Source organism: Homo sapiens, chromosome 6 (genome assembly GCF_000001405.40).
Source record: "Homo sapiens chromosome 6, GRCh38.p14 Primary Assembly".
Classification (NCBI taxonomy): Eukaryota; Metazoa; Chordata; class Mammalia; order Primates; family Hominidae; genus Homo; species Homo sapiens.
The window spans coordinates 31,514,913-31,528,909 of NC_000006.12; the positions used below are offsets into that span (position 1 = coordinate 31,514,913).

General features: G+C 45.3%; 2 pseudogenes; one reads left to right on the forward strand and one right to left on the reverse strand.

The window, feature by feature from the left end:
- PPIAP9 (peptidylprolyl isomerase A pseudogene 9) lies at positions 4,065 to 5,418 on the reverse strand (annotated as a pseudogene).
- Positions 13,160 to 13,809, forward strand: RPL15P4 (ribosomal protein L15 pseudogene 4; annotated as a pseudogene).

Sequence of the window (13,997 nt, forward strand, 5' to 3'; positions counted from 1 at the left end):
TAAAAATACAAAAAATTAGCCGGGTGTGGTGGCGGGCACCTGTAGTCCCAGCTACTCGGGAGGCTGAGGCAGGAGAATGGCATGAACCCAGGAGGTGGAGTTTGCAGTGAGCCGAGATCACGCCACTGCACTCCAGCCTGGGTGACAGAATGAGACTCCGTCTCAAAAAAAAAAGAAAAGAAAAGAAAACTGCAGCACTTATACACCATGGTACGCTACCCAGCCAAAAAAACAAGAACGAAATCATGTCCTTCACAGCAACATGGATGGAGGTGGAGACCATTATTCTAAGCAAATTAATGTAGGAACAGAAAGCCAAATACCACATATTCTCACCTATAAGTGGCAGCTAAACATTGAGTACACATGGACACAAAGAAGGGAACAATAGACACTGGGGCCTCCTTGAGGGTGGAGGGTGGGAGGAGGGGGAGGATTAAAAAACTACCTATTGGGTATTGTGCTGATTACCTGAGTAACAAAATTATCTGCACACCAAACACCCGTGATACACAATTTACCCATGTAACAAACCTGAATATGTATCCCTTGAACCTAAAAAATCAAAAAGAAAAAAGTAAAAAAGAATTCCTGATCAGATTGAGCCAGGACAATGGCCGGGCGTGGTGGCTCACGCCTGTAATCCCAGCACTTTGGGAGGCCGAGGCAGGTGGTCAGGGTAGGCCTCTTGGAGGAGCCATGTGAGCAGACTTGAGAAGGAGAGACACAGCCATGCAGATATTTGAAGGAAGAACCTTCCAGTATCCCGCTCTAAGCATACCCAGGACTCTGCTCTGGGGCAGACCCTAAAGCTGCAGTGGAAATGGAGGTGGCCACACTCACAGAGACTGTGGCAGAGAGTGATGGGGATTTGGGTCTCCCCTTCCTGCTGTGGCTGTTAGAAGTGCTGGAGTTGGGGAGGGAAAGGCACTGGCATGTGGAGGAAGACTAGGAGAGGAGGGGAGGCTGAAGTGTGTCCCACTCTCACTCCACCTCTCTGTTCTCTATCTCCTGCATCCGGTGCCTCCCCGACTTCCCCAAAGTTGTGGTCCCTGACAAGGAAGACCCTGAGGGCAACCACACCTTGCCATGTAGAGCACCTGGCTTCTCACTTGCCAACATCACTCTGACCTGGCTGCAGGAAGGGGAGGAGCCAACTCTGGACTCAAGACTCAAGGGGACCAGACCCAGGAAGATGAGACATATCAGGGCTGGGCAGCTGTGGGGGGCCCTCCCAGAGAAGGCCTGAGATACACCTGCCTGCAGGTGCTCCTGGGCCTGGAGAAGCCCCTCAGTGTGACTAGGTGAGGTGTTGTCAGAGGACCAGAGGCTGAGGGTGGGGTGTCCCATCCAGATCCTGCCCCTCTCTCTGCCCCAGCACCCAAGGCCCCTTCCTCCCTCCTCTATGGAGATGCTGGGGATGTCCTCATTCTCCCTCTGAGCACTCACATCTCACCCCTCATCTGTCTCTCTAACCTCCTTCCTTCCTGCTGCAGCTTCTGCCCCAGCCCCAGGCTCTGGCCTCTCTCTCCCCAGTTCCACCCTCCAGGGGGTGATGGTTCACTTCCCTCTGAGGAGCCAGCACTAGGTGAGAGGCTAGGAGAAGGAAAAGCTCATGGGCCATGGGTTGGGAGGGAGAATGGGCACTGAAATGGAAGGGTAGGGAGACAGAAGAGGCAGGTATTTCCAAATCACCATTTTTCTGTCATGGTCCAAGGGTGCCATCCTTCTCCCAGGCCCAGGGATGTGGAAAGAGCAGCAGGAATTGGGAAATACTCCACAGGAAAGAACAATGTGCCTCCTCCCTCCACCGGCTTCTTCCTCTTGCCTATTCTGGTCAATTCTCTAAGTGAATCATGTAACCAAAATGTGAAATGTTTATTTTAGGAAAGTCTCCAAATATTAGGGAATAAAATTACTAGTGCCTAAGCCCTGCATACTGAAAAACAGAAGCTTTAAGAAATAAAGACCTGCATGGAAAATTGCTCATCAAGTCGGGGAAGTCAAAGTCTGAGCTGAATCAGCTCTTTTTTTCTTTCTCTCTCTTTTTTTTTTTTTTTTTTTTTTTTTTTGAGACGGAGTCTTGCTCTGTCGCCCAGGCTGGAGTGCAGTGGCATGATCTCAGCTCACTGCAACCTCTGCCTCCCCGACTCAAGCAATTCTCCTGTCTCAGGCTCCCAAGTAGCTGGGATTACAGGCATGAGCCACCATGCCCAGCTAATTTTTGTATTTTTCAGCAGAGACGAGGTTTCGCCATGTTGGCCAGGCTGGTCTCAAACTCCTGACCTCAGGTGATCCGCCTGCCTCAGCCTGCCAAAGTTCTGGGATTACAGGCATGAGCCACCATGCCCAGCTGAATCAGCTCTAAAGTGGTGCTGAAGTGAGAGCCATTTATGTGCCTGTGTGAGTTCACACAGGTCTTGAGACCTCTGTGTCCTCCTTAGAAGAGTGAAGTGAGCACCCAGTGCCTAGACCTTGGTTGTGCTAAGTCATTCTCTGATAAAAGGATTCAGGGCTCCATAGAAAAACAGCTGATTCTAGGGCTGGCATAGGAAAAATATAAGGTGAGCCTGGAACATCTTGTAATGCCAGAAAGTAACCGCCACCCATCTCCCAACCCTCACCACCAAAAAATAAGGGCATGTCAGAGGGACACAGGAGTCAGCCTGAAAGAGCTCCCTATGGACAAAGCCGGAATAATCCGAGCAACAAAGTTACAATAGTATTGGATTATGACCCAAAATATAAATAAATATTCATTCCACACTGATTTATTTAATCAAAAATAATTAAATAAATAAATAGGGAAGAAGGGGCAAATCTTCCTTACAGAAGAATTTCAAAACATATATTACGAGAATCTCTTTCCCAGGAGATTGGAATTTTATTTCTCTCACCTTGAATATGGGCTGGACTTGCTGACTTGCTTCCAAAGACTAGAGTATGAAAAAGGAAAAATAATAACTTTACAGTGGAGAAATGTAGCAGACACTACCAAGCAATCAGAGTCATGTTAACATCTTGCCCCCCAGAAATGATGTGATGAGGACACTCCCCTCTATGGTATTCTTCCCTTAAACCCATAACCCCAATCTAATCATAAGGAAGCATCAGGCAAACCCAAAGTGAGGGACATCCTACAAATTATCTATCCAGTATTCTTCAAAACTTTCAAGGTCATGAAAACAGGTAAAGACTGAGAAACTCATGATCAGAAAGACTAGGGAGACCCAAAAGCTAAATGCATTAATGGGCCCTGGAAAAACTGGTGAAGTCCAAATAAAGTCTACAGTTTAGCGAATAGTATTATAGCAATGTTAATTTCTTAGTTTCTTAGTCTTGACAGAATTTTGTTAGATGTTAACATTAAGGAAAGCTGGGGTTTATGGAAACTCTGTGTTCTAGCTTTGCAACTCTTTAAATCTATTATTGTTATTGTTATTGGGTTTTTTTGTTTGTTTTGTTTTTGTTTTTTTTTTGAGATGGAGTCTCGCTCTGTCGCCCAGGCTGGAGTGCAATGGCGCGATCTCAGCTCACTGCAACCTCCACCTCCTGGGTTCAAGCAATTGCCCTGCCTCAGCCTCCCCAGTAGCTGGGATTCCAGGCACCCATCACCACGCTCGGCTAGTTTTTGTATTTTTAGTAGAGATGGGGTTTCGCCATGTTGGCCAGGGTGGTCTCGAACTCCCGACCTCAGGTGATCTGTCCGCCTCGGCCTCCCAAAGTTAAATCTATTATTATTCAAAACAAATTTAACTAAAAGTGAAATGAAGCTAGGTACAGTAGCTCATGCCTGTAATCCCAGCCCTTTGGGAGGCCAATTTAAGCCCAGGAGTTTGAGAGAAGCCTGGGCAACATAGTGAGACCTTGTCTTATAAAAAAAATTAATTTAAAAAATGAAATGAATAGACATATATTAAATTAAATCGATAATTAATAACATTCAGAAACAGAAAACATCAGCCCCAAATGGGTTTACTGATAAATTCTATCAAACATTTAAGGAAAAAATTATACCAATTTTCTATAATCTCTTCCAGAAGACATACTTTCTTTTGTTGTTGTTGTTATTCAGTGTTAATTTCATAATCATAAACTTAATGCTGCAATCCAGCTAGGCATGGAAGGGAACAAGGAAAACATGAAACCCAAAGGGAACTGCAGTGAGAGCACAAAGATTCTAGATACTGCGAGCAGATGGATGGAGGGTGTTCTCCTGAGCTACAGAAGCAATGGTCTAGTGGTTAAGATAAAACACAAGTCAGGCCGGGCGCGGTGGCTCACACCTGTAATTCCAGCACTTTGGGAGGCTGACGCAGGTGGGATCACCTGAGGTCAGGAGTTCAAGACCAGCCTGACCAACACGGAGAAACCCCGTCTCTACTAAAAATACAGAATTAGCCAGGTGTGGTGGCGCATGCCTGTAATCCCAGCTACTCGGGAGGCTGAGGCAGAAGAATCGCCTGAACTCAGGAAGCAGAGGTTGCAGTGAGCCGAGATGGCGCCATTGCACTCCAGCCTGGCAACAAGAGCGAAACTCAGTCTCAAAAAAAAACACAAGTCAAACTTAGTCAAGTTGTGTACAGTCAGCGATGGTGATCTTCTTGATGGTCTTGCCATTCCCAGACCCAAAGTGCTCCATGGCCTCCACAATATTCATGCCATCTTTCACCTTGCCAAAGACCATGGGCTTGCCATCCAACCACTCAGTCTTGGCAGTGCAGATGAAAAACTGGGAATTGCCCGGGCTAGGTGGCTCATGCCGTAATCCCAGCACTTTGGGAGGCCGAGATGGGCAGATCACCTGAGGTCAGGAGTTCAAGACCAGCCTGACCAACATGGTGAAACCCTGTCTCTAATAAAAATACAAATATTAGCCAGGCATGGTGGTGCATGCCTGTAATCCCAGCTACTCAGGAGGCTGAGGCAGGAGAATTGCTTGAACCTGGGAGGCGGAAGTTGCAGTGAGCCAAGATCGCGCCACTGCACTCCAGCCTGGGCGACAGAGTTAAGACTCCATCTCAAAAAAAAGAGAAAAAAGAAAAACCGGGAATCATTTGTGTTGGGTCCAGCATTTGCCATGGACAAGATGCCAGGACCTGTATGCTTTAGGATGAAGTTCTCATCATCAAATTTCTCCCCGTAGATGGACTTGCCACCAGTGCCATTATGGCGTGTGAAGTCACCACCCTGACACATAAACCCTGGAATAATTCTGTGAAAGGAGGAACATTTATAATCAAATCCTTTCTCTCCAGTGCTCAGAGCACGAAAGTTTTCTGCTGTCTTTGGAAACTTGTCTGCAAACAGCTTGAAGGAGACACAGCCCAAGGGCTCACCATTGACAGCGATGTTGAAGGACACGGTGGGGTTGACCATGGCTGATAGTATGGGGCTCCTGATGGTGGCGTCTGCAAAGCCAAGACAGACACTTTCTATCTCATTTCATGAGGCCAGGATTCCATGAGGGAATACTTTCTAACTAATTCCATGAGGCCAGCATTAGCCAAATACCAAAATCAGATGAAGACTTCACAAAAAAAGAAAACCACAGACCAATATCTCTCATGAACATAGGTGCAAAAATCCTCAGCAAAATGCTAGCAAATCAAATCCACAATGTATGAGAAGAACAATACACCATGCCTAAGTAAGATTTATCCCAGGTATGCAAAGTTACTTCAACATTGGAAAATCAGTTAATGTAATCCATTAAATCAACTGGCTAAAGAAGAAAATCACATGATCATATCAATAGAGGCAGAAAAAGCAATTGACAACATCCAACACCCATTCATGATGATTAAAAAAAAAAATCTCTTAGCAAGCTAGGAATAGAGAAGACCTTACTCAACTTGATAAACAACATCCACAAAACATCCACAGCTAACATCACACTTAATGGTGAGAAACTAAAAGCTTGCCTGCTAAGATCAGAACAAGGCAGGAATGACCCTCTCAACACAGCTTTTCAACGTTGTACTGGAAGTCCTAGCTAAAGTAGTAAGACAAGAAAAGGAACTAAAAGGTATACAAATTTGGAACAAGAAATAAAACTGTCTTTGTTTACAGATGATATGATTGTCTATGTAGAAAATCAAAAAGAATCCACACATAAAAAACTCCTGGAACTAACAAGCAATTATAGCAAGGTTGCAGGATATAAAGTTAATATGTAAAAGCCAATCACTTTTCTATGTATCAGCAATGAGCACGTAGAATTCGCCATTTAATTTTTTTTTTTCAAGACGGAGTCTTGTTCTGTCGCCCAGGCTAGAGTGCAGTGGCGCGATCTCAACTCACTGCAACCTCCTCCTCCCAGGTTCAAGCAATTCTCCTGCCTCAGCCTCCTGAGTAGCTGGGATTACAGGTGTGCCCCACCATGCCCAGCTAATTTTTGTATTTTTAGTAGAGACGGGGTTTTACCATGTTGGCCAGGCTGATCTCGAACTTCTGACCTCATGTTCTGCCTGCCTCAGCCTCCCAAAGTGCTGGGATTACAGGCGTGAGCCACCGTGCCTGGTCCAGAATTTGCCATTTAAAACACAATACCACTTACATTAGCACCCCCAAAAATGAAACACTTAGGTACAAATCTAAGAAAATATGTACAAGATCTATATGAACAAAACTACAAAACTGACAAAAGAAATCAAAGAACTAAACAAATGGAGAGATATTCCATGTTCATAGTCAGGAAGGCTCAATACTGTTAATATATCTGTTCTTTCCAACTTGATCTGTGGAATGAATGCAATCTCAATAAAAAACCTCAGTAAGTTATTTTGTGGATATTAACAAACTGATTCAAACTTTATATGGTGAGGCAAAAGACCTAGCCAGCACAATATAGGAGAAAAATAAAGTCAAAGACCACCACTACCTGACTTAGACTTTCTATAAAGCCATAGTAATCAAGACAGAGTGGTGATTAGCATAGCCATTGTGGGAAACAGTATGGAGGTTCTGCAAAAATTTTAAAAATAGAAATACCACATGATCCAGCAATCCCACTAATGGGTATATATCCAAAGGATATGAAATCAGTACGTTGAGATATTTGCACTCCCATATTCATTGCATCATTATTCTTTTTTTTTTTTTTTCCTTTAGAGATAGAGTCTATGTTGCCCAGGGCAACTCCTGGCCTCAAGCGATCCTGCTGTCTCAGCTTCCCAATTATCTGGGATTATAAGCACGAGACACTGCACCTGGCTGCAGCATTATTCTCAATAGCCAAGATATAGAATCCACCTAAGTGTCCATCAATGGATGAATGGATAAAGAAAATGTGGTATATATAAAAAATGGAATACTATTCAGCCTTAAAAAACAAAATCCTGTCATTTGTGACAACATGGATGAACCTGGAAGACATTATGTTAAGTGAAATAAGCCAGGCACAGAAAGACAAATACAATCTCACTTATATGTGGAGTATAGAAAAAGCCAGACTCATAAATAGAGAGTAAACTGGTGGTTATCAGAGGCTGGGAGGTCGGGGAATTGGGGAGATGTTAGTCAAAGAACACAAGATTTCAGTTAGGAAGAATAAGTTCAAGAGATCTATTGTACCTTATGGTGACTAAACTTAATAACAACATATTGTGTATTTCAAAATAGTATGAGAATAGCTTTAAGCATTCTCATCACATACACACAAAATATGTATGTGAGGTAATGTACATATTATTAAATTGTTTGGTTTATCCATTCCACAATGTGTGTGTATGTATGTGCATATATATATAAACATGATGTACACCACAAATGTATAAAATTAGTCAATCGAAAAATTAATTTTAGAAAGACAGAGTGGCATTGGCAAAGAATAGACAAATTGATCCACTTGAGCAGAATAGAGAGCCAAGAAATAGTCCCACATAAATACAAGGAGCAAAGACAATACAATAAAGATAGTCTTTTCAGCAAATGCTGCTGGAACAACTGGACAGCCATGTACAAGAAAAATGAAAAGAGCTCTCTTAAAAGGTTACTGTGAAAGCCACCTGTGACAGTAACAGAAAGTGCCCAGCAGGGTCTCTGACACTTAGTAATGTAATCTCTCTCACTGTAATGTAATGGCTAAACTTCAACATCCCTCAGCCCCCATCTCCATAAGACTTTCCCATAGAGGCAACAATGATTCCTGTCAGTCACCCAGTCCTGCCAATCCACTGGGTAGGATACAATATTGAGGGGCCCATCAGCACACTGGCCTTAGGGGGCTCTGCAGCCCCTTGACCTTGTGGATGATGCTGGCCTTAATCTCCTCTTGTCCGTGGCTAAAGACAGGCCCCTTCTGCGGAGACCAGGCCAGAATGCTCATCTGATTAAGACTCTATATTAAGAGTCAGGAATAACAAAAACAACAATAAATAAATAAACACAGTAACATAATCTATGTGTCTTAGTCCGTTTCCTGCCGCTATAACAGAATACTACAGACTGGGTAATTTATTTTGTTGTTTTTTCAGACAGGGTCTCTCTCTGTCGCTCAGACTGGAGTGCAGTGGCATGATCTCGACTCACTGCAACCTCCACCTCCCAGACTCAAGTGATCCTCCCACCTCAGCCTCCTAAATAACTGGGACCACAGACCCGCACGACCACACCAGCTAATTTTTGTGTTTTTTTGTAGAGATGGGTTTTGCCATGTTGCCCAGGCTGGTCTCAAACTCCTGGGCTCAAGCCTTCCACCCACCTTGGCCTCCCAAAGTGCTGGGATTACAGGCTTGAGCCACCACACCCAGCACAGACTGGGTAATTTATAAAGACAATAAATGTTTTTCCCACAGAGCTGGAGGCTGAGAAGTCCAAGAGCATGACACTGGCATCTTATGAGGGCCTGGCTGCAGTATCATCCCATAGTGAGAGGTGGAAGGGCAAAGAGGCTGAACTGATTTCTATCATGCCATACAATGGCATTAATCTATTCAATCTAATCAACCCTGAAAGGTCCCACATCGGCTGGGCACGGTGGCTCATGCCTGTAATCCCAGCACTTTGGGAGGCCAAGGCAGGTGGATCACCTGAGGTCAGGAGTTCAAGACCAGCCTGACCAATATGATGAAACCCCGTCTCTACTAAAAATACAAAAATTAGCTGGGCGTGGTGGCATGTGCCTGTAATTCCAACTACTCAGGAGGCTGAGACAGGAGAATCACTTGAACATGGGAGGCGGAGGTTGCAGTGAGCTGAGATTGTGCCATTGCACTCCAGCCTGGGCAACAAGAGCGAAACTCCATCTCAAAAAAAGAAAAAAAAAAAGTCTTGCATCTTAATACCATTAGGATAGCAATTAAATGTCAACATGAGTTTTGGTGGGGACATTCCACTTTAGCACTAGGTATTCTGGTTTATGTATTTTTTTAGCTTAATTCCTTCATTTCTACAATTATGAGATCCACGATTATCCACTATATTTGGTTTTCTTTCTTTTTGGTTTTGTTTTTTGTTTTTTGAGACAAGAGTCTCGCTCTGTCGCCAGGCTGGAGTGCAGTGGCATGATCTCAGCTCACTGTAACCTCTGGCTCCCGGGTTCAAGTGATTCTCCTGCCTCAGCCTCCCGAGTGGCTGGGACTACAGGCGTGCACCACCATGCCCGGCTAATTTTTGTATTTTTAGTAGAGACGGGGTTTCACCATGTTGGCCAGGATGGTCTCGATCTCTTGACCTCATGATCCGCCCGCCTCGGCCTCCCAAAGTGCTGAGATTACAGGTGTGAGCCACTGCGCCTGGCCTCATCCACTATATTTGAACCGACCCAAAGGCCAGTGCTTTCTTAATTAAGTTCCCACAGGTGAACAAAGCCAAAATTCAGATTCTATTTTATTTATGGTTTAGAATTACCTACTGTGAAAAAAAAAAAAAACTAGCTACTATAAATTATTGGGGGTTAGTCCATTTAGTCCATTTTGGAGTTCATAACCTAAAGCAGAAACTCACATGGTTGAAATGTCACTTTCCCAAAGGATTGTTATTAGTGTATCATTTAGATTGTCTTGCAAAAGTCTCATTTGTTGTTTTTTCTAAATGGCTGCTAATCTTTTAAATTAACAGATAGAGGGCCAGGCACGGTGGTTCACACCTGTAATCCCAGCACTCTGGGAGGCTGAGGCAGTCGGATCACTTGAGGCCAGGTGTTCAAGACCAGCCTGGCCAACATGGTGAAACCCTGTCTGTACTAAAAATACAAAAATTAGCTCGGCATAGTGGCACACGTCTGTAATCCCAGCTTCTTGGGAGGCAGAGGCATAAGAATTGCTTGAACCCGGCAAGCGGAGGTTCCAGCAAGCAGAGATTGTGCCATTGCACTCCAGCCTGGGTGACAGAGCATTGCTCTGTCCACCTCCCAAAAATGTAGTTAATTTTTTTTCTTTTCTTTTTTTTTTTTTTTTTTTTTTTTTTTTTTTTTTTTTGAGAGACGGAGTCTTGCTCTGTCGCCCAGGCTGGAGTGCAGTGGCACAATCTCAGCTCACTGCAACCTCCGCCTCCCAGGTTCAAGCAATTCTCCTGCCTCAGCCTCACAAGTAGCTGGGATTACAGGTGGCTACCACCACGCTTAGCTAATTTTTTGTATTTTTAGTAGAGACGGGGTTTCATCATGTTCGCCAGGCTAGTCTTGAACTCCTGACCTTAAGCGATCCCCCTGCCTCGGCCTCCCAAAGTGCCGGGATTACAAGCATGAGCCACTGCGCCCGGCCAACTTTCAATGTTAATTAGTTGTGGTTTGTTTAACCATATACTGCATAGTTTCGCTTATCTATAATAACAGTAGTTTGGGGCTCTTATATTCTAATAATTAAGACTTTAGCTGTGTACACATTGCAATTAAAGTATGAGTCATGCATAACCTTATCACCAAGATACAAGAGGGAAAGCCCTTCTCCCCTTAAACTTTTACAAAGGTTCTGGGTTCTTTTTCCACTTAAGTGGGAAAAAGTCAGCTAATGAGGAACGTAAAGTCTTTGGCCTCATCTAAAGGTGCTTTGGCCCGCAAGTGTGAGAAGCACTGACCGCTGGGAAGTCCTCACTGCCTGGTTCCTGGACTCTTACACCATGGCAGAGGCCATCTTCCCTCCCAATGCAGAGTGATATCCAGATAGCGAGCTGGCTAGCAGCTGTCCACTCTCCAGCAATCCTGCCTTCTGGGGCATGGTTTTCTAAGGACCTTCCTGTTCCTAGATGATCAAAATTGGGACCAGCCACTCCCTTCTGAGCCACTCCTGCCTCTGGGCCTGTGGCTATGTCACAGTCCAGTCACAACAGGACATCCCTTCAGAACACCCTGCAGGAAGCTGACATCTCTATGCAGACTCACACATGCACGGTGTGTGCACAGGCCTTTGGTTCTACTTCAGGAGGTGTTGGGGGAGGCTCACTAGTCCAACAGAACTTGAGGCCAGTTGTACCAGTGTCATATCCCAGGAGCCAAGGTTACAAGGGATACAAAGTGCCCAGACCTACCAGAGAAGGCAAACCCCTACAGCATGCAGGGCTAGACAGGGGCAAGAAACAAGGTCATTCTGGGCCAGCAAGAAGAGGGAAAGGGAAATGACAGGCATACCTCGGAGATACTGAAGATTTGTTTCCAGACCATAGCAACAAAGTGAGTCACACAAACTTTTTAGTTTCCTATTGTGCATAAAAGTTATGTTTGTACTATATTGTAGTCTGTTAAGTGTACAGTAGCATTGTGTACAAAAAACTGTGTATATACTTAATGGAGTCTCGCTCTGTCACCCAGGCTGGAGTGCAGTGCCACGATTTTGGCTCACTGCAACCTCCGCCTCCTGAGTTCAAGCCATTCTCCTGCTCAGCCTCCCAAGTAGCTGGGACTACAGGTGCCCATCACCATGCCCAGCTAATTTTTGTATTTTTAGTAGAGATGAGGTTTCACCATGTTGGCCAGGCTAATCTTGAACTCCTGACCTCAAGTGATCCACCCACCTCGGCCTCCCAAAGTGCTGGGATTACAGGCGTGAGCCACTGTATCTGGCCATATACTTTAATTTTAAAATACTTAATTGCTAAACAAATGCTAACCATCATATGAGGCTTCAGCTAATCCTGATCTTTTTGCTGGGGGAGGGTCTTGCCTCCATGGATCAGGGGCATGGCTGCTGAAGGCTGCTTTGACAACTTCTTAAAATAAGACAATGATGTTTGCCATTTGCCGCATGGATTATTCCTTTCAATATTGTTGTGCCTCAGGGAATAGGGAGGCCTGGAAAGCAGAGTCGGGAGAATGGCCAGTTGGTGAAGCAGTCACAACACACACATTTTTCCATTAAGTTTGCTGTCTTATATGAGCATCGCTCATGGTGTCCCAAAACAATCACAATAGTTAACTTCAGTAACTGATTACAGGTCACTGTAACAAGTATAATAATGAAAACGCTTGAAACATTTTGAGAATTCCACAGCGTGACATGGAGACATGATGTCTGCCTGCTGTTGGGAAAATAGCACCAATAGACCTGTTTGATGTGCTTGACACAGGGTTGCCACAAGCCTCCAATCTCTAAATAAAAAACAGCATCTGCAAAGAGCAATAAAGGGAAGCACAATAAAAGGTACATCTGCAAAGGGGAATCAGCACTTAAGCAAGGTCAGGATGAGCTTTCAAGTCAGGTGGACCTAGACATGAACCCTCCAGGCCCTACCAACAACCAGCTATGGACCTTCGAGCACATCCAGCCTAGAGCTGCCCCCAACAGACACTTCCCCAGTGAATGCTGAATGAAACCATCTGAGCCAGTTTCCTCAGGTGCAAACCAGTGAGGTAATTCCTACCTTGCAGAGTGAAGTGAGAAAAGACAGTGTTAAGAAATGCCGGGTGCGGTGGCTCACGCCTGTAATCCCAGCACTTTGGGAGGCCAAGACGGGCGGATCATGAGGTCAGGAGATCGAGACCACCCTGGCTAACACGGTGAAACCCCGTCTCCACTAAAAATACAAAAAATTAGCCGGGCGTAGTGGCGAGCACCTGTAGTCCCAGCTCCTCGGGAGGGTGAGGCAGGAGAATGGCGTGAACCCGGGAGGCAGAGCTTGCAGTGAGCCCAGATTGCGCCACTGCACTCCAGCCTGGGCAACAGAGCGAGACTCCGTCTCAAAAAAAAAAAAAAAAAAAAAAAGACACAAGACCTGTGGTAGCCTTTCCTTTCTGTCTGGCAGCAGCCACTGGGTAAACCAAGATGGTGCATACAAGTACATCCAGAAGCTATGGAAGAAGCAGTCTGATGTCATGAGCTTTCTTCTGAGGGTCCGCTGCTGGCAGTACCACCAGCTCTCTGCTCTCCACAGGGATCCCCGCCCCACCCAGCCCAATAAAGCACGCTACTGGGCTACAGCCAAGCAAGGTTATGTTACATATAAGCGCCACGGTGGCTGAAAATCTAGTTCCTAAGAAGGCAACTTAACAGCAAGCCTGTCTATCATGGTGTTAACCAGCTAGTTTGCTTAAAGCCTTCAGTCTGTTACAGAAGAGCAAGCTGGATGCCACTGTGGGGCTCTGAGTCCTGAATTCTCACTGGGCTGGTTAAAGATTCCACATACAAAGTTTTTGAGGCTATCCTAGTTGATCCATTCCATAACACTATCAGAAGGAAACCTGACACCCAGTGGTCCACAACAAGCATAGGGAGATGCGTAGGCTATCTGCAGGCCAAGAGAGCCACGGCCTTGGAAAGGGCTGTAAGTTCTACCACACTATTGGTGGTTCTCGCCATGCAGCTTGGAGAAGGTGCAATACTCTCCAGCTCCACAGCTACCGCTAATGTTTGTAAAATTCATACCTAATAAACACTAGATCAAAAAAAAAAAATCACAGACCTGTGGTAGGCTGGGCACCAGTGCTCTAAAGCAAGTTCTGCCTAAACTGGCAGGGACATTTTTCACATCAGGAACAGGAGTTGTTCCTGGACTCTGTCTGGGGCCAGGCTGGGAGAGACGTGGGGCAGAGTGGGGCAGGGGCAGGGGCAGGGCTGGGGGCT